Raw genomic sequence first — 19,939 nt, 5'->3', positions numbered from 1 at the left:
TCTTACGCCCAATTTCTGCCTCCAAAGAAAGAAGAAGTAAAAACTCAAAGGCAGAAATGGAATCCACAGGCAGACAGCCTGGCGCCACACCCTGGGCCTGGTAAAGATCGACCTCTGACCTAATCAGTTTTGTTATTTATAGATTACAGACATTGTATAGAAAAGCACTGTGAAAATCCCTGTCCTGTCCTGTCCTGTTCTAATTACCAGTGCCTGCAGCACCCAGTCACATATCCCCTGCTTGTTCAATGGATCACGACCCTCTCACGGGGACCCCCTTAGAGTTGTGAGCCCTTAAAAGGGACAGGGATTGCTCACTCGGGGAGTCGGTTTTTGAGATGTGAGTCTTGCCGATGCTCCCAGCCGAATAAAACCCTTCCTTCAACTCGGTGTCTGAGGGGTTTTGTCTGTGGCTTGTCCTGCTACAACAGGACATGTATGAAGTCACGTGGAGCACAGAATAGACCATCAGAAAGTGAGAGAGAGGTCTGGGGGAGAGTTGGTGACATTTACTAGATAAAGACCCTAGGGGAAGCAGATTGGGGCAAGAAAGGGATGAGTTGGATTTGAGTAGAGGAGCCTTGGGCCATCTGTCCAGGGGCAGGATGTGAGGGGAGGTGAGAGCCCGGCTGCAGCTACAGGGAGACTGGCAATTGGGAGGCGTCCTGAGCAGCACATGGGAGAAGCTCCTAGAAGAGAGGACCCTCTGACTTTCTCAACCTTACCCTACTCTCCCCACTGCCTCCGCCATCTAGAAACTTCCAGAATTTCAGGCCCCAACAAGCCTACGATGGAGGAGGTTCTCCTGTATCCACTCCTTTTTCTTTCTTTCTTTCTTTTTTATTTTTGAGACAGAGTTTCGCTCTGTCGCCCAGGCTGGAGTGCGGTGAGGCAATCTCGGCTCACTGCAAACTCCGCCTCGCGCGTTCAAGCGATACTCCTGCCTCAGCCTCCCCAGTAGCTGGGATTACAGGTGCACGCCACCACACCTGGCTGTTTTTTTGTGTGTTTTTAGTGGAGACGGGGTTTCACCATGTTGGTGAGGCTGGTCTCGAACTTCTGACCTCAGTTGTTCCGCTGGCCTCGGCCTCCCAAACTGCTGATTACAAGCGTGAGCCACTGCGCCACGCCCACTCCATTGGTTTTTTTACACTCAACATTGGGAAGAGACTGCTGTTGCCCTGTTTCTGAGATAACAAGGACAAAACGAGAGAGTGATGAGCTGGAGCCCGATTATAAAACGGTCCACAAACGAAAACTAATGCCTGAGTTCAGTAAGGCCGGGAGGCCAGCTCACTCCCGCGAGGCGCTCTTTTGTTCGTGCAAACCGGGGCGGAGCTCTCTGCTGCACCGCCTCGCCGGGCCGGGGCGGAGCTCTCTGCTGCACCGCCTCGCCGGGCCGGGGACTAAACATGCGCGGCTAGTTTTCAAGGCCGGCCTCTGTATTAGTCACCGCGGCCATTTTGGATGAGGGTACGGAGAGAACGCGGACTGGAGATACCGGGGGCGTTGTCTTGGGCACGACTGCGTAGGGGCAAAGGTCGAGTACCCGCGCCGCCGCCATTTTTTATGAGGGCATATTCCATTTCTGATTATACACCCGCTGCCATCGGCACCGTTAGTTTCCACGCCCTCTAGTGCGCCCTCGGGGGCCCTAGTAACCTCCCTCCTTCCCTTGGGCCCGGGCCGGGGAGGCTTTCTCGGGCGCAGGAGGTTCCGCAGGCCCAGGCCAGGCCAGGGGAGGCAGCCGATCCGTCGTCGGGGTTGACAGTTACCATGGCGCCGCCTCTGGCCCCGCTCCCTCCCCGGGACCCAAACGGGGCCGGACCCGAGTGGAGGGAGCCGGGGGCTGTGAGCTTCGCGGACGTGGCCGTGTACTTCTGCCGGGAGGAGTGGGGCTGCTTGCGGCCAGCGCAGAGGGCCCTGTACCGGGACGTGATGCGGGAGACCTACGGCCACCTGAGCGCTCTCGGTGAGAGCCCCACCTGCTCGCCTGAGCCCTGCGCCCCCACAGGCCCTGCCGCGCCTCTGGGAGCTGCGCGTGAAGTTGGGGGCCCCGGGGCCGGGCAGGTGGCCTCCCCGCAGCGTGGGGTTTGCGTTCTTCTTCCCTAGGAATCGGAGGCAACAAGCCAGCTCTCATCTCCTGGGTGGAGGAGGAGGCCGAACTGTGGGGTCCGGCTGCCCAGGATCCGGAGGTGGCGAAATGTCAGACACAAACGGACCCAGGTGGAGTATCGGGTGCTCAGTCCCATGGGGACTTCTCTGTTCCTGTCCCATCCCGGTACCCTCTGCCACCTCCAGCTACCTGCTTAGCAGTTTCCTCTCTGAACTGCCTTCTCAACTGCGACGACGAGGCTGAGCCCCTGCGTGGCTCCCAGATGCAGCCTAGAAAGGAGCTGTGATGGGGGCTCTGGCCCTGCCATACCCGCCTCTGAGTCCTCACCTCTGCGTGGTCACTACACTCTGGGGGCTTTTTTTGGTGTTTTTGTTTTAGAGACAGGGTCTCGCTTTGTTGTCTAGGCTGAGTGCAGTGGCGGCATCATAGCTCACTGTAGCCTGGAACTCCCGGGCTTAAGCAGTCCTTCCACCTGGGCCTCCAGAGTAGCTAAGACTGTACAGGTGCTCGCCACGAAGCCTGGGTAATTTTTTTTTTTAGACAGAGTTTTACTCCGTTGCCCAGGCTGGAGTGCAGTGGTGCCATCTCAGTTCACTGCAACCTCCCACTCCCAGGTTCAAGTAATTCTCCTGTATCAACCTCCCAAGTAGCTGGGATTACAGGCGCCCGCCACCAAGCCTGCTTAATTTTTTTTTTTTTTTTTGAGACAGAGTCTTCCTCTGTCGCGCAGGCTGGAGTGCAGTGGCGCCATCTCGGCTCAGTGCAAGCTCCGCCTCCCTGGTTGACGCCATTCTCCCGCCTCAGCCTCCCCAGTAGCTGGGACTACAGGCGCCCGCCACCACGCCCGGCTAATTTTGTTTTTGTGTTTTTAGTAGAGATGGGGTTTCACCATGTTAGCCAGGCTGGTCTCGAACTTCTGACTTTGTGATCTGCCCGCCTCGGCCTCCCAAAGTGCTGGGATTACAGGCGTGAGCCACCGCGCCCAGCCAATTTTTTGTATTTTTAGTAGAGACAGGGTTTCACTATGTCGCCCAGGCTGGTCTTTAACTCCTGGAGCTAAGCGATTCGCCTGCTTCGGCCTTCCAAAGTGACCCACTGCGTCTGGCCTAATTGTTTTAAATTGTTATGTAATATATATATTTTATAGAGGGGGTCTTGGCTCTCGGTGTGTTGCCCAGGCTGGTCCTGAAATCCTAGGCTGATCCTCCTTCTCTACCTCCCAAAGCGCTGGGATTACCGCCTTGAGCCCCCACGCCCAGTCTCTTAAACTCTGTTGACTCTACCTCCACCTCAGGACCCACCCCTGCCGTTCACCTGCAGGCTGGTTCCTTTCTCCCCGTCCGCCCCCCTTTTTTTCTTTCATTTCTTGCCCTCAGCCTTTGCAGAGTATCCAGCCCCACTGAACTTGGCCATGCCCTCCTGGTTCTGCCTTTCTTGGTGCTGTTCCTGCTGCCTGGAACATCCTCAGGTGTCCGTTCCTCCTTCTGGATCAGGCCCAGATGTTCATGTCATCTCTGCCCTTCCCCCACCGTGACATTTCCCCAGCCCCGAGGCGGAATGGGCTGTTCTCTCCCTCCCGGCTCTGTCTGGCTCTGCAGCCGAGGAACAGGTGTCACTCCTCCATCTCCCAGGAGCAGCCGGGGATCCAGCAGGCCTGTCCCTGTCCACGCGGGCTGTGGGATTCAAGGACCAGGATGAGCCGAGCCTGAACTCTCCCCTCTTTATCTCTCAGCAGATTCCAGAAACAAGAAAAAGGAAAGACAAAGGGAAGGGACGGGAGCCCTGGAGAAGCCCGACCCTGTGGCCGCCGGGTCTCCTGGGCTGAAGTCTCCCCAAGCCCCCTCGGCCGGGCCCCCTTATGGTTGGGAGCAGCTGTCCAAGGCACCGCACCGGGGACGCCCCTCCCTCTGTGCCCACCCCCCTGTCCCCCGAGCTGACCAGCGTCATGGCTGCTACGTGTGCGGGAAGAGCTTTGCCTGGCGCTCCACACTGGTGGAGCACGTCTACAGTCACACTGGCGAGAAGCCCTTCCACTGCACTGACTGCGGCAAGGGCTTCGGCCACGCTTCCTCCCTGAGCAAACACCGGGCCATCCATCGTGGGGAGCGGCCCCACCGCTGTCTGGAGTGTGGCCGGGCCTTCACGCAGCGCTCGGCGCTGACTTCGCACCTGCGCGTCCACACCGGCGAGAAACCCTATGGCTGCGCCGACTGTGGCCGCCGCTTCAGCCAGAGCTCTGCCCTCTACCAGCACCGGCGCGTGCACAGCGGCGAGACCCCCTTCCCCTGCCCGGACTGTGGCCGCGCCTTCGCCTACCCCTCGGACCTGCGGCGCCACGTGCGCACCCACACCGGCGAGAAGCCCTACCCGTGCCCGGACTGCGGGCGCTGCTTCCGCCAGAGCTCGGAGATGGCAGCCCACAGGCGCACCCACAGCGGCGAGAAGCCCTACCCCTGCCCGCAGTGCGGCCGCCGCTTTGGCCAGAAGTCAGCCGTGGCCAAACACCAGTGGGTTCATCGGCCCGGGGCCGGGGGCCACAGGGGCCGGGTCGCCGGGCGTCTGTCTGTGACCCTGACCCCTGGCCACGGAGACCTGGACCCGCCCGTGGGCTTCCAGCTGTACCCGGAGATATTCCAGGAGTGTGGGTGACGGCCTTAAAAGTGACTATCTAGACATTACGGGAGGCCCGAGATGGGCTCAGGGGCCCGAACCTCTGCGGCGGCCTGCAGGGAGGTCCCAGAATCTAGGGCAAGAGCTGGCCCTGGGGTGCGGACAGTCTGATCTTGGGCCCTTAGCAGCCTCCTCTGCCAGCACCTTGCTCCCCACTGCCCAGGGCTCTCCAAGGCCCCCTCTACTGAGGCAGGGCTGAGTTGAGAACCCCCAGACCTACATAAGGGGAACCAAAAGCTGTTTCTCAGCCCAGAGGTGCTAAGAGGACTGAGGTAGAGGAGAACCTTGTTTTACCCATTGTCTTTTTAAATTTTTTATCATTATTTTTATTCTTGTGACCCTCCCAGAACACAATACTCATTGTCTTTTTATTTATTTATTTATTTATTTCTGAGACAGCTTCCTGCTCTGTCACCCAGGCTGGAGTGCAGTGGTGTGAACAGGGCTAACTGCAGCCTCAACCTGCAGTGCTCAAGGAATCCTCTCCCATCAGCCTTCCAAATATCTGAGACTACAGGCGGGCAACACTACGGCCAGCTAATTTTTAAATTTTACATAGAGATGAGGTTCTCACTGTTGTCCAGGCTGGTCTCAAACTCCTTGGCTGAAGTGATCCTGTCGTCTCGGCTTCCGCAAGTGCTGGGATTACAGGCGTGAGCTACCACCATGCCTGGCTTCCATTGTCTTTGTGTGTGTGTGTGTGTGATGGGGTTTTGCTCTTGTTGCCCAGGCTGGAGTGCAATAGCGCAATCTCAGCTCACTGCAACCTCTGCCTCCAGAGTTCAAGCAATTCTCCTTCCTCAGCCTCCCAAGTAGCTGGGACTACAGGCACCCACCACCTCCATTGTCTTTTTACTGCCCAAGTTAAAATCCTGTGACTGTGTACTGGATCTGGCCTGCGGTTGTCATATTTATTGATCTGAGTCCAGGCAGTGTTTTTAAGTGATATGAGTTAGTAGTGAAAATTGAAAAGGATATTTTACAACCAAATACAGGTTTTCTGGTGTCTTTTGAAAAATCCAAAGATTTGGCAACTCGACCTAGGCTCCGACAAAACCACAGTTGTTGGGAGCTGAGCCGGAGCCAGAACTCACAATTCACCGTGGCCCGGCCACCCATCCCCACCACTCCCGTGGGCTCCTGACCAAGCACCACGTGCCATTCATCATGGCTTGCTTTTAGTGTTTTTGGTGTTTATCTTAAAGTACAGCGAAGAAGAAAGGGAAGTATTTCTTAGACCCATGTCTCTGTCCAAATAGGCCTTTCCATCTGGCATTTCCCGCTCATTTATATGACTTGCTGAGTTCCTATGGTCATTTGAGTTTGCAAACAGTGGTCTGTAGCACTCAGGTTTTCTGGAGTTGGAGAGAAAGGGTGGCAAGAGAGAAGTAAAAGTTGGTTTTATTTTAGATCTTTGCTTGTATTGCATTTTATGGTTTACAAAGTACTGTCTCTTCCATTGAATCATTTCACCTTCATAAGTGCTGAGAGAAACCCCTTGGTTGAAGAGGACAGCCTGGTCAGGAAGAGGCAGTCAGGACTGCCTTTCATCCCAAACCAAGGGGTGTGTCCGCCATCAGCCAACAGGCAGTTCCTGTTTTTGAATGGGAAGGTTTTGAGAGCTCCCTCCAGTCTTCTTTGGGCCTCCCTGAGATAGCCACATGCCTCAGGACTTCTTAGCCCTCCTAGACCCTGCCAGGAGGGCCTTATCACAGTTTTGAACTAGAAGAGATCTTCACTTTCCTAGGCTTTTACAGTTGGAGACACTGAGACCAAGGAGGGCTAAGCAGCCTGTCCAGGGTCACACAGAGACCCCAGGGTTCTTAGCTGACTGCTGACTTTACCCATCACTCCTGAGGCCTTCACTGGTGTCTCAGCCAGGGTTTTGCAGGCATCTGCCCCTCCCTGTGATAACACCCAGCCCTGACCTGGATGGGGTCAGACTAGCCCAGCATCAGTGAAGCCCACGTACCAGATGAGTTCTGACAAAGTGGCCATGTGACAGATCAGGTCAACTCAGAATCCAGGCAACGAGGAGAGTCCCAAGGCGCACAGACCTTGCATTTTTCCTCTGTACCATCATGGGCAGAGCGGGGTAGGCCAGGAACACCTGGTGTTAGATTAGATTTGTAGCCAGGGGTGACTACCCATCTGTATCCCCAAGCTCTGCACAGAATCCCCACCCCCATTATCCATCTACCACTAATTCCTTTGTGGGCAGAGTCTAGCCATGGGCAGCCCCTGCCCTGCTCCTGGTTAGGACAACATCTCCCTGAGGAGAGCAAGGGCCTGTGACCTCTGCTGGCCTATGCAGAGTCACCCAGCTCAGCCCTGTGTCTGGCCTACCCAGGAAGGAAGAAACCAGATTAATCAACCTGGAAGGAGGTAGAAGTTTTGGAGAAAAGACACTGTTCCGGTGTCAAGTGAAGTAATGAACTGACTTTATTCCAACCTCATCTCCAATCCGACCCCACCAAGGTCTCTCTCTCCTTCAGCTTTTCTGGGGCGGGTTGACTCGTGCGCCACCTTATCACAGGGGCATATTGGGGTCAGAAGAGGAACCTTGGCAGTAGAAGATACCTTTGTACCAGTTTTTTTTTTTTTTAATGTTTTGTTTTTGAGATGGAGTCTCTCTCTGATGCCCAGGCTGGAGTGCAGTGGCACGATCTTGGCTCACTGCAACCTCTGCCTCCTGGGTTCAAGTGATTCTCCTGTCTCGGCCTCCCGAGTAGCTGGGATTACAGGTGTGCGCCACCACACCTGACCAGTTTTTGTATTTTTAATAGAGATGAGGTTTCACCATGTTGGCCAGGCTGGTCTTGAACTCCTGACCCCAAGTGATCTGCCTGCCTTGACCTCCCAAAGTGCTGGGATTACAGGCATGAGCCACTGCACCTGGCTATTTTTTGTATTTTTAGTAGAGATGGGGTTTCACCATGTTGGTCAGGCTGGTCTCCATTTCCTGACCTCACATGATCCGCCCGCCTCAGCCTTCCAAAGTGCTGGCATTACAGGCGTAAGCCACTGCACCCGGCTTTTGTACCAGGTTTTAATTCCTAGTGTACAACCTAGTTCCCTCCCCTAACCCTCAGCACAGCCTCCGGGAGGCCCAGCTTGCAACACCAGTTCTCAGCCCAGACTGACAGCCAGATCTTGGCCCTCAGCTTGCCACTTAAAGGTGCTATGATTATTATCTAGAGATCTCTGAGTGCTTTGAAGTTTGTAAAGCTTATTTAGGGCCTAGAAACCAGACCTGACTCCTCTGCTTCCTGCCCTCATGACCCAACTTTCCAGCATCTCATCAATTTTTTTTAGTGTCATGAAACCCTTCAGCCTCAGCCCCACCCCATTCTCAGCTCCTCATTTCTTTTTTCTTTTTTCTTTTTTTTTTTTTTTTTTGAGACGGAGTTTCGCTATTGTTGCCCAGGCTGGAGTGCAATGGCACAATCTCGGCTCACTGCATCCTCCGCCTCCCGGGTTCAAGCAATTCTCCTGCCTCAGCCTCCCGAGTAACTGGGATTACAGGCATGCGCCACCACGCCTGGCTATTTTTTGTATTTTTAGTAGAGATGGGGTTTCACCATGTTGGTCAGGCTGGTCTCCATTTCCTGAACTCAGGTGATCCGCCCTGAGCCTCAGCCTTCCAAAGTGCTGGGATTACAGGCGTAAGCCACTGTGCCCAGCCAGCTCCTTGTTTCTTGGCACAGATATTTCCACCAGAGGTAGGGCCTCCTTTTCTCTCTGCTACCACAGGTCTTTGAGGGTCAGCCCCAGAAGCAATTGAAGTCAGGAAGGGGCTTTCCCAGGCTTCACTGTGCATTGAGGATATGCTTGTCTGCATCAACAGAATAAGCCACATCCAAGTGGCCAGCCAGAGTGAGAAGTAAAGGCCATGGCCACATGCCCATCCCTCGTCTGTCCAGGCCATTTAAGGGTGGGAGACCGGGTGCAGTGGCTCACGCCTGTAATCCCAGCACTTTGGGAGGCCGAGGTGGGCAGATCACCTGAGGTCAGTAGTTCAAGACCAGCCTAGCCAACATGGTGAAATCCCGTCTCTATTGAAAATACAAAAGTTAGCCGGGTGTGGTGGCGGGTGCCTATAATCCCAGCTACTCAGGAGGCTGAGGCATGAGAATTGCTTGAACCAGGGAGGTGGAGGTTACAGTGAGCCAAGATTGCGCCATTGCACTGTAGCCTGGGTGACCAGAGTGAAACTCCGTCTCGGGCCAGGCGCGGTGGCTCACACCTGTAATCCCAGCACGTTGGCAGGCTGAGGCGGGCGGATCATGAGGTCAGGAGATTGAGACCATCCTGGCTAACATGGTGAAACCCTGTCTCTACTAAAAATACAAAAAAAATTAGCCGGGCAAGGTGGTGGGCGCCTGTAGTCCCAGCTACTCAGGAGGCTGAGGCAGGAGAATGGCGTGAACCCAGGAGGCGGAGGTTGCAGTGAGCTGAGATTGCACCACTGCACACTCCAGCCTGGATGACAAAGCGAGACTCTGTCTCAAAAAAAAAAAAAAAAAAAAAGAGTGAAACTCCGTCTCAAAAAATAATAATAATAAAATAAGGCTAGGTGTTGATCTGAGCTCCAAGACCCCTAAAACTCCTTGGAATGTTTGTGTATGTGTGTGTCTCTAGGAATAGGCATGTAGGCATGCAAAGATGTATATGACCCAAAGAAGTTAATACTAGGCTAGTATTTTCAAATAAGGCCTCCCTGATGCAGAATCACGAGGTTATCTTTTATTATTATTATCATTATTATTATTTTGAGACGGTCTGTCTGTGTCACCCAGGTTAGAATGCAGTGGTGTGATCTTAGCTCACTGCAGCCTTGAATTCCTGGGCTCAAGCCATCCTCCCGCCTCAGTCCTGCATAGCTGGGACTACAAGTGTGCACCATTATACCTGGCTAATTAAAAAAAAAAAATTTTTTAGAGAAAAGTTCTCACTCTGTCACCCAGGCTGGTCTTTCTTTTGTTGTTATGGGTTTTTATTTTTGGAACCTGTCTCAGGAGCCCAGGCTGGTCTCAAACTCCTGACCTTGAGTGATCCTCCCATCTCAGCCTCCCAAAGTGCTGGGATTACAGGTGTGAACCACTGTGCCTGGCTGAGTGTCTTTTAAAAATGTAGGTTGCCAGGCGCAGTGGCTCATGCCTATAATCCCAGCACTTTGGGAGCCCAATGGGAGCAGATCACTTGAGCCCCAGAAGTTTAAGACCAGTCTGGGCAACATGGCGAAAACCCATCTCTACAACAATTAGCTAGGCGCGGTGGCTCACACATGTAATCTCAGCACTTTGGGAGGCCGAGGTGGGTGGATCACGAGGTCAAGAGATCAAGACCAGCCTGGCCAACATGGTGAAACCCCATTTCTACTAAAAACACAAAAATTAGCTGGGTGTGATTGCAGGCGCCTGTAGTCTCAGCTACTCAGGAGGCTGAGGCAGGAGAATCACTTGAACCCAGGAGGCGGAGGTTGCAGTGAGCCGAGATCACGCCACTGCACTCCAGCCTGGTCGACAGAGTGAGACTCCATCTCAAAAAAAAAAAAAAGAGAGAGAGATAAAGGCATGTCAGGCCAGGCAGTGACTCATGCCTGTAATCTCAGCACTTTGCTGAGTGACAGAAGAAGACTGACTCTGTCTCCAGAAAAAAACAGGCACGTTCAGAGAACAAAGATTCCATCCATTTAGCTGGAGCTAAGTGGGATCGTTTGCCTGTAGGGAAAGATGGGGGTTTGACTTTGAGAAGGTTGGTTTGCCATGGGCCTGGAAGGTCATGGGGGTACTGGCTATGAACACTTTTTTGAGACAGGGTCTCGCTCTGTCGCCCAGGCTGGAGTGTAGTGGCGTGATCTGGGCCCACTGCAGCCTCAACCTCCTGGACTCAAGTGATCCTCCCACCTCAGCCTCCCAAGTACCTGGGACCACACGCACTTGCCACCACGCCCAGCTAATAGAGCCCATGCCTCTATCTTAATGAGCCTTTGTTCTAGCTACTCTGTTCTATATAGGCTACACTTGCAAATCAAATTCCTCTGTCAATGACCTTCAATGCTATCTCTAAGAAATTCCTCCAGGAGTCTGTCTGTCCCATGCTAGAAGCCTCAGAACTGTGCCTCTGTGTTTTTATCCTGGACACAATCTGCCTAGAAGGTCTTCCCCAAACTCGTGTCAGCTGAATTCATACCTGGTATCTCTCTCCCCCAGCTTAGTGTAAACTTAGTGCAGGGACTTTATCTTGCCTCACCAATGTCTTCGCCACCCAAGAATAATGCTTGGCACACAAGAGGGGGCCAATACATTTTTATGAAATGAATGTAGACTTAGGATATGTGTCTGTTTTTTGATATGTTTCCTGAGTGGTCAGTGTTCTTCCCCAGGATTCCCTGACTCCAAACCAGCCCTCTGTTAGGGACAAACTGCCCAAGAAACCTTCTTGGTGCTGTCCACCCATCCCCCAAGCCTCTTTACATTTCTAAGCCCTTACCTAGGCACCACGGTGAAGCCAGCAGACTTTGCTTATCAGACCTTGCTGCAATAAGCAAACCCCAATTACAAACCACCCACACTGCACAGGGGGAGGTCATGGGAAACATAAACAAACTTTACCTACACCCTCCTGTAATAAACGTCACAAGGTAATATGTAGCAAAATTAACCAGCAAACAACCCCAGGATGCGGCCATACGAAAGAACTCCATCAAACTCCCCTCCCCAATATAAACCCCTCATTCTGTAAGCTTGGGGCTACTTCCTCTCTGACTGTTAAGGGAGCAGCCAGCAGGTTAATAAAAAGTTACCTGCCTAACTTTGGGTCTGTTTTTCCTTTCTCTTGGCTGACCTTACATTCTGGTGCCAAAACCCGGGAAGGGGATAGCCTCTGGCCAGGACTCACTCACTCACTCACTCTCTCTGTCTGTCTCCCTCCCTACTCCCTACCCTATCACCCCTCTTCCAGCCAATCTCCCCTTCCCTGAACCTGCCAAAGACCCAGAGAATCTCCTAGACTCTCCCATTGCTGACGACTTCATCCACCACCTCCACCAGGGTGAGTAAAAAGAGACTGTTGCCGTTCCTCAGAACCCTTGACCATCCATCTCTCCATTTCTGAAAGACCCAGCGCTGGGCCAAGGGCTTCCTCCGGCCTGTGGGCCTCTGGTTCCTCCATTTTAGGGATGCCTGACACGGCAGTTACCTCCTCTATTCCGGACAAGTTCCGCAAGAAAGGGGACGCCCTCTCCCACCGTCCTTGTCAGCAGCAGTCTCTTCTTCCTCTACCCCTACCTCCTCCATTCCGCAATCTCAATGCTCTCGGGCTCCATTCAGAGGTCCGTTCTTTTTTTTTTTTTTTGAGACGGAGTCTCGCTCTGTTGCCCATGCTGGAGTGTAGTGGCATGATCTCGGCTCACTGCAAGCTCCGCCTCCTGGGTTCACGCCATTCTCCTGCCTCAGCCTCCCGAGTAGCTGGGACTACAGGTGCCCGCCACCACGCTCGGCTAATTTTTTGTATTTTTAGTAGAGACGGGGTTTTACCGTGTTAGCCAGGATGGTCTCGATCTCCTGACCTCATGATCCGCCCGCCTCGGCCTCCCAAAGTGCTGAGATTACAGGCGTGAGCCACCACACCCGGCCCAGAGGTCTGTTCTAAGAGGCTTATCTTTTACTGCAATACCACATGGCCTCAATACCAACTGGACAGTGGCTCCCAATGGCCCAAAAATAGCACTTTACAACTTTTGCCATCACAGTGGGAAATGGTCTGAGATTCCTTATGTTCAGGTTTTCTTTAAGGGAGGAGACCACCCCTCATATTGTTTTATGCCCAATTTCTGCCTCCAAAGAAAGAAGAAGTAAAAGGCAGAAATGAAATCCACAAGCAGACAGCCCAGTGCCACACACTGGGCCCGGTAGTTAAAGATCGACCCCTGACCTAATCGGTTATCTTATCTATAGATTACAGACATTGTATAGAAAAGCACTGTGAAAATCCCTGTCCTGGGCTGGGCGCGGTGGCTCACGCCTGTAATCCCAGCACTTTGGGAGGCCGAGGCGGGTGGATCACAAGGGCAGGAGATTGAGACCATCCTGGCTAACATGGTGAAACCCCGTCTCTACTAAATGTACAAAAAATTAGCCGGGCGTGATGGCGGGCGCCTGTAGTCCCAGCTACTTGGGAGGCTGAGGCAGGAGAATGGTGTGAGCCTGGGAGACGGAGCTTGCAGTGAGCAGAGATCGCGCCACTGCACTCCAGCCTGGGTGACACAGCGAGACTCTGTCTCAAAAAAAAAGAAAATCCCTGTCCTGTTCTGTTCCGATCTAATTACCGGTGCATGCAGCCCCCAGTCATGTGCCCCGTGCTTGCTCAATAGATCACAACCCTCTCACGTGGACCCCCTTAGAGTTGTGAGCCCTTAAAAGGGATAGGAATTGCTCACTCGGGGAGCTTGGTTGTTGGAGAAGTGAGTCTTGCTGAAGCACCTGGCCGAATAAAGCCCTTCCTTCTTTAACTCGGTGTCTGAAGGGTTTTGTCTGCAGGTTGTCCTGCTACATCTTCACTCTCTGTAACTGCCATTCCCTCTGTCAGTCTTGTTCTACTTTCTAAATCCTCCTTGTCCGCTCCAAATCTGACTCGCCTCCTATCCTCCTCCCCACAGCCCCAGCTTAGGACGATTCCTCTTCCTTTGACTCTGCCAATTTTCCCCCTCCCCGACAGCATCACGATCCTCCACAGGAGCATCCTAATCCTCCACTGTATGTCCCCGTTCCAGCTCTACCCTTCTCCCCGTCTCTCAAACCACCCCGCTTCTGACTCTGGTTCCTCTCCGTCTCCACCCCTCACCCGCTCTTGGGCCCAACATGTTCAGCAACCAGCTCCCTTACTTCCCCTTCAGGAAGCAGCAGGAGCTGAAAGTATTGTTAGAGTTTATGTTCCCTTCTCCCTCACTGATCTCTCTGTAATTAACAAAAGACTTGGTTCATTTCCAGAAGACCCTACCTCTTATATTAGGAAGTTTCAGTACCTTACCCAGTCTTATGAACTAACCTAGCATAACCCCTACATCATCCTCTCTTCTACCCTCACCCCAGAAGACCGAGACCATAACTGGACCCTAGATCAGGCACATGCTGATACCATTCATCACCAGGCTCCTGCCCAGCCTACTGGTGCAAAGGCAGTCCCCAACCAGGACCACCCTAGGATTATCAAGACGGGGCCTCTGGACGCCACCATTGAGACCACATGATTGTATGTCTCTTTACAGGACTCCAAAAGTTTGCCTATAAAGCGGTAAACTATAAAAAACTTTCAGAAATCACCCAAGGTTCCTAACGAAAACCCAGCCCTTTTTCTCTCTGATTTAACTGAAGCCATGAGAAAATATACCAACCCAGACCCAGCCAGCCCAAAAAGAAACACTATTTTAAACCTTCAGTTTGTCTCCCAATATTTTAAACCTTCAGTTCATCTCCCAATCCACTCCCAATATTTGATGCAAGTTTCAGAAGCTTGACAATGGCCCTCAAACCCCACAATGAGACCTTCTTAATTTAGCCTTCAAAATCTTTAACAATCATAATGAGGAAAATAAAAGGCAAAAACAGGCAAAGTTTCAAATGCTTGCCTTTGCCATTAGAGGCCCTGCAGGCCCACGGGACCGCAGCTCCACATGGAAGCCTCCTAACAATTCACTTCCACCTGGCACCTGTTCCAAGTGTGGCAATAAAGGCCACTGGTCCAGACAATGCCCAAACCCAGGAAAGCCCACCAGGCCATGCCCCCTCTGTGGAGGACCCCACTGGAAGTCAGACTGTGAGTGGCCCCAGCAAGGACTGCCCCCATCCCCTCCTGAGCCAGCCAAAACCTCCTACTCGGATTTCATCGGCCTTGCCACTGAAGACTTGACGGTGCCCTGGAATGAACGCCCCCAGCAACTACCATCTCTTCATTCAAGCCAAAATAACCCTAATGGTGGCAAATGGGCCAGTATATATATTTTTTAAATTAATACCGGGACAAACTACTCTGCTTTACCTAATTTTTCAGGACCCACCCAGTCCTCCCAGGTCTCTGTTGTAGGAATTGATGGACAAGTCACCAAACCCCGAGCCACCCCTCCACTCTTCTGCTCCCTGCACAGTTTTTCCTTCACTCACTCTTCCTTAGTCCTGCCCTCATGTCCAACTCCGCTCCTGGGCAGAGATACCCTTTTCAAAACTCCACACTATTCTCCACCTCCATGGTAACCTACTTAGAAATTCAACTTCCCCTGGGGCCTGGACTGTGACCCCAGCCTGAGCAGCATTAATAATCTACCCCCCGCGCTCTTCCAAACGAGAAATCCTTTCCTTCCCAGGGTTAGCAGGCTTCTTTAGAATATGGATTCTCAACTTTACCCTCCTAGCTTGCCCCCTCTATAAAGCGGCCAAACACCCTCTCGATGAACCCCTAAAACCCTCACATAACATACTCCCCAGCTTCTACAAACTCAAAACCGCTCGTCACTGCACCAACTCTGTCCTTACCTATTATCTCCCAACCTTTCACTCTCCATACTTCCAAAAACTGAGGAATAACCCTCGATGTCTTAGGACAACAGGAAAAAAATCCTCCTTCTTTTGCCCCTGTAACTTACCTCTCTAAACAACTAGATGACACAGTCAAAGGGTGGCCAACCTGCCTTAAAGCACTAGCAGTGGTGGCCATTTTAGCTCTAAAAAGCAGGAAACTAACTTTCAGCCAGAATACCACCGTCTGCAGTCCTCATAATCTACAAGATCTCCTCTCCTCCTGAGCATTAGGCTCCCTTTCTCCTTCATGGATTCAATCACTCCATGCCTTTTTTTTTTTTTTTTTTGAGATGGAGTTTCGCTCTTGCCTCAGTGTCTTGCATAGCTGGGATTACAGGCGTGTGCCACCACGCCTGGCTAATTTTTGTATTTTTAGTAGAGAGGGGGTTTCACCATGTTGGCCAGGCTGGTCCCGAACTCTTGACCTCAGGTGATCCACCCGCCTCAGCCTCCCAAAGTGCTAGGATTACAGGCGTCAACCACCGCGCCCGGCTTACTCCATGCCTTCTTTATCGAAAATCCCAAATTCAGTCTTTTCAAAAGTGCTCCCCTCAACCCAGCATCCTTACTCCCTGTATCTTCTTCCCCTTCTACTCATTCTTATACTAACATCCTAGATCACCTGCAGCCACACTTTCTAAACATTTCCTCCCAGCCTCTCACCAACCCCAATGACCAGCTATTTATAGATAGCTCCTCTTCCGTACCCACTGGCTCCCCCAAAATTGCTGGGTATGCAGTTGTTTTCCTTGGCCGAGTAATTGAAGCTAAACCCCTACCTCCAGGAACCTCCTCTATCCCTCCTCTCCACAATATACAATGCAATCCCTGCCTCAGCCTGTAACTGGACTTCCACCCAAGTAACCTACCATCCCGAAATCCTCATTAACAGCCCCCTCGAACTCGACATGCAGGCATTAACAGAAATCTCCCCTCAGTTAGCTAATGAGTTGGGTCCAGCTGTTACAACCTTACATCCCTATTTACGCAACCTATCCCCCTACCACAGCTGTGATAAACCCGTATTAGGAGCCATAACAACCCACAAAATCTTATCCTATCCAGCACTGCTGTGCATCCAATGACATCTACCCTCTGGCATTCCCCTCAGCCACCTGAATTCCAAACTGCAACTTTACCCTACAACTCAAACCTCCCACCGAACATACTACTCTCAAAGCCGCCAACAAAAAAGACAGGCTTTATTTCTCTAGCCTCCACCTCCTTAACAAAAATTAAGGGTACTGTAATGGCCAACACCTCCCCTGTTTATCCCTCTTCCCTTGACTCCCCTCTCCATGCACCATCCTTACCCTACACCCACCACCCGGGACTGTCTCCTTCTCCCAACATTCAACAACACTCCCACATGCATCTTAGTGGAAACAAAACGCTTCCTCTTACACTGGCAAAAAAAAGAACCCAAAAGCCTCCCAGCCTAAACCAAACACCCCTTTACAACCACTTACAGCAGCAGCCCTAGCCGGGACCCCAGAAGTATAAATGCATGAAAATAACAAAATGTATATCTTTTTAGCATACACACCAGTTCTCTCTAACAAACCAAGGCATACTTTTCCTATGCAGTACCTCAACTTATATTTGCCTCCCCTCTAACTGGATGGGCGCCTGCACACCCTGGTTTTCCTCAGTCCAAAAATCAACGTTGCCCCAGGAGACCAACCCCTACCAATCCCCGTTAATACCCCTATCTGACACCGCCGTGCTATACAACTCATACCTCTATTAGTAGACCTCGGAATAACTACAGGAGTTGGAACTGGGATTGCGGGATTAACCACCTCCGTTTCCTATTACCAATCCCTCTCCAAAGACCTCACAAATAGCTTGGAAAAAATAGCCAAATCCATTACAACTCTCCAATCACAAATAAATTATTTAGCAGCAATGGTTCTTCAAAACCACAGAGACTTAGACCTACTCACAGCCGAAAAAGGAGGACTCTGCCTTTTTCTAGATGAAAAGTGTTGCTTTTATCTTAACCAGTCTGGCTTAGTACAACATGCTGTAAAAAGACTAAAGGACCGAGCACAAAAAATTAAAGAAAACATCCCTTGATGGCCAGCGTGGCCCTCCTGGTCTTTTAATACCTAGTTTCCATAGCTAATGCCCCTTCTAGGCCCGGCCATAACCATTTTTCTTTTCCTAGCATTCGGCCCTTGTCTCCTACACCATCTCACCCAGTTTTTACAGGACCGTATCAGAGCCTTCACCTATGCGACAATACAAGATATAATGCTGCTCCAGGAATACCAATGGCTCCAAAAACTGTAGTCCCTACTGTCCAGCCTTCCCCCACAACCGTCGCCCCTTCCCAGCAAGAAGCAGCCAGACAATGGCACCCCTCTTCTATTACCTATTAAAGGGCTGGAATGTTAGGGACAAACTGCCCAAGAAAGCTTCTTGGTGCTGCCCACCCTTCCCCCAAGCCTCTTTACATTTCTAAGCCCTTATCTAGGTGCCGCGGTGAAGCCAGCAGACTTCACTTATCAGACCTTGCTGCAATAAGCAAACCCCAGGTACAAATCATCCACACCGCACAGGGGGAGGTTGTGGGAAACATAAACAAACTTTACCTACACCCTCCTGTAATAAACGTCACAAGGTAATATGTAGAAAAATTAACCAGCAAACAACCCCGAGATGCGGCCATACCAAAGAACTCCCTCAAACTCCCCTCCCCAATATAAACCCCTCATTCTGTAAGCTTGGGGCTGCTTCCTCTCTATTAGGGGAGCAGCTGGCAGATTAATAAAAAGTTGCCTGCCTAACTTTAGGTCTATTTTTCCTTTCTCTCAGCTGACCTTACACCCTCATCTCCTGGGAGTAGGAGGAGGCCCAGCTGTGAGTCAAAATGCCCAGGATCCCCAGGAAGGAGGAAGCCTAAGAGAAAGGCAGAAAGGGGAGAAGAGGGGATGACGTCTCCGTCCCAGCTGGAAGAGGATATTTTGTTGAGGAAGGAATGCTATTTATATGTTCCTTACTCCTGGTGTGACTCATTTTTGCTGACCTGAATTTATGACATTCCCTGGAGCCTGGCATCTTGACCTTCTCTTTCTCACTTTAAGGGAGGAGACCACCCCTCATATTGTCTTATGCCCAATTTCTGCCTCCAAAGAAAGAAGAAGTAAAAACTAAAAGGCAGAAATGGAATCCACAGGCAGATAGCCCAGCACTGCACCCTGGTTAAAAATCAACCCCTGACCTAACTGCTTGTGTTATCTATAGATTGCCAGACATTGTATAGAAAAGCATTGTGAAAATCCCAGTCCTGTTCTGTTCCGTTCTGATTACCTGTGCATGCAGCCCCCAGTCACGTACCCACTGTTTGTTCAATCAATCATTACCCCCTCAGAGATGTGAGCCCTTAAAAAGGACAGGAATTGCTCACTCGGGGAGCTCGGTTTTTGGAGACATGAATCCGCCGATGCTCCCAGCTGAATAAAGCCCTTGCCTTTCACAACTTGGTGTCTGAGGGGTTCTTGTCTGCGGCTCGTCCTGCTACAATTTTTTTTTTGAGACGGAGTCTTGCTCTGTTGCCCAGGCTAGAGGGCAGTGGTGTGATCTCTGCTCACTGCAGCCTCCACCTCCCAGGTTCAAGTGAGTCTCCTGCCTCAGCCTCCTGAGTAGCTGGGATTACAGGCACCTGCCACCACACCCGGCTAATTTTTAATTGTTTTTTAGTAGAGACGGGGTTTCACCATGTTGGCCAGGCTGGTAATGAACTCCTGACCTCAAGTGATCTGCCCCCGTCAGGCTCACAAAGTGCTGGGGTTACAGGTGTGAGGCACCACACCTGACCGAGACTGGGCTTCTTTTCTTTCTTTCTTTCTTTTTTTTTTTTTTGAGATGGCGTTTTGCTCTTGTTGCCGAGGCTAGAGTGCAATGGTGCGATCTTGGCTCACCGCAACCTCTGCCTCCCGGGTTCAAGTGATTCTCCTGCCTCAGCCTCCTGAGTAGCTGGGATTACAGGCATGCGCCACCACGACTGGCTAATTTTGTATTTTTAGTAGAGATGGGGTTTCTCCATGTTGGTCAGGCTGGTCTCAAACTCCCGACCTCAGTTGATCGGCCCGCCTCAGCCTCCCAAAGTGCTGAGATTACAGGTGTGAGCCACTGTGCCCGGCCTTTTTTTTTTTTTAAAGATAGAGTCTCACTCTGTCACCAAGGCTCGGGTGCAGTGGTGTGATCTCGGCTCACTGCAACCTCCGCCTTCCGGGTTCGCACCATTCTCCTTCCTCAGCCTCTGGAGTAGCTGGGATTGCAGGCATGTGCCACCACACCCAGCTAATTTTTGTATTTTTTGTAGAGATGGGGTTTCACCATGTTGGTCAGGCTGCTCTTGAACTCCTGATCTCAGGTGATCTGCCCTCCTTGGCCTCCCAAAGTGCTGGGATTACAGGCGTGAGGCACCGCGCCCAGCACTTAATTTGACTGGTGACATCCCATGGGACTACAGTCAGGCTGTGCTATGAATCGGCCCATTCAGTGGCAGTGTGTGAATTCAAATTTAGGATGAAGAAAGTTCACCTTTCTGTCTCCAGGCCCCCAGGCC

The 19,939-nt window shown here is 51.8% G+C and overlaps 1 protein-coding gene and 1 long non-coding RNA gene across 3 annotated transcripts, besides 5 other annotated features; both read left to right on the top strand.

Annotated features, from left to right (window-relative positions):
* Positions 1,456-1,595: an enhancer, noted in NCBI's record as "active region_10712". NCBI's record gives its function as "activates an Ori minimal core promoter by ATAC-STARR-seq in GM12878 lymphoblastoid cells {active_cell/tissue: GM12878}" and the evidence as "EXISTENCE:reporter gene assay evidence [ECO:0000049][PMID:35858748]".
* ZNF764 (zinc finger protein 764) lies at positions 1,585-6,195 on the top strand. Of its 2 annotated transcripts, none has more exons than NM_001172679.2 (3): positions 1,585-1,972; positions 2,113-2,226; positions 3,852-6,195. In NM_001172679.2, the coding sequence occupies exons 1-3, from the start codon at positions 1,777-1,779 to the stop codon at positions 4,763-4,765; spliced, it is 1,224 nt and encodes a 407-aa protein (NP_001166150.1). In that variant the 5' UTR covers positions 1,585-1,776; the 3' UTR covers positions 4,766-6,195. The 2 variants fall into 2 exon arrangements, with proteins under 2 accessions (NP_001166150.1, NP_219363.2); NM_033410.4 differs by having other exon boundaries at positions 3,849-6,195.
* Positions 2,136-2,697: an enhancer, noted in NCBI's record as "H3K27ac-H3K4me1 hESC enhancer chr16:30568583-30569144 (GRCh37/hg19 assembly coordinates)". NCBI's record gives its function as "activates a minimal SCP1, AML or CMV promoter by ChIP-STARR-seq in primed H9 embryonic stem cells {active_cell/tissue: H9 hESC(primed)}" and the evidence as "EXISTENCE:reporter gene assay evidence [ECO:0000049][PMID:30033119]".
* Positions 6,054-6,553: an enhancer, noted in NCBI's record as "H3K4me1 hESC enhancer chr16:30564727-30565226 (GRCh37/hg19 assembly coordinates)". NCBI's record gives its function as "activates a minimal SCP1, AML or CMV promoter by ChIP-STARR-seq in naive H9 embryonic stem cells {active_cell/tissue: H9 hESC(naive)}" and the evidence as "EXISTENCE:reporter gene assay evidence [ECO:0000049][PMID:30033119]".
* LOC124903677 (uncharacterized) lies at positions 11,696-18,847 on the top strand. The gene is made up of 2 exons (XR_007065050.1): positions 11,696-11,842; positions 18,184-18,847. It is a non-coding gene; the product is annotated as an uncharacterized LOC124903677 (long non-coding RNA).
* Positions 18,157-18,451: a silencer, noted in NCBI's record as "tiled region #8694; K562 Repressive non-DNase unmatched - State 5:Enh". NCBI's record gives its function as "represses a minimal TATA promoter and a strong SV40 promoter by Sharpr-MPRA in K562 cells {active_cell/tissue: K562}" and the evidence as "EXISTENCE:reporter gene assay evidence [ECO:0000049][PMID:27701403]".
* Positions 18,414-19,059: an enhancer, noted in NCBI's record as "H3K27ac-H3K4me1 hESC enhancer chr16:30552221-30552866 (GRCh37/hg19 assembly coordinates)". NCBI's record gives its function as "activates a minimal SCP1, AML or CMV promoter by ChIP-STARR-seq in naive H9 embryonic stem cells {active_cell/tissue: H9 hESC(naive)}" and the evidence as "EXISTENCE:reporter gene assay evidence [ECO:0000049][PMID:30033119]".

The sequence above is a fragment of the Homo sapiens genome, chromosome 16, assembly GCF_000001405.40.
Source record: "Homo sapiens chromosome 16, GRCh38.p14 Primary Assembly".
In the NCBI taxonomy this organism is placed as follows: Eukaryota; Metazoa; Chordata; class Mammalia; order Primates; family Hominidae; genus Homo; species Homo sapiens.
The sequence above is the reverse complement of the archived record's forward strand: the minus strand, read 5'-3'. Positions and strand labels throughout refer to the sequence as shown.

Bases quoted from the DNA above. Each gene is read 5' to 3' on its own strand.
- ZNF764 (NM_033410.4), top strand. From the start codon at position 1,777: ATGGCGCCGCCTCTGGCCCCGCTCCCTCCCCGGGACCCAAACGGGGCC. The intron at 1,973-2,112 runs GTGAGAGCCCCA...CTTCTTCCCTAG, and splicing joins CGGCCACCTGAGCGCTCTCG to GAATCGGAGGCAACAAGCCA. The intron at 2,227-3,848 runs GTGGAGTATCGG...TTTATCTCTCAG, and splicing joins TCAGACACAAACGGACCCAG to CAGATTCCAGAAACAAGAAA.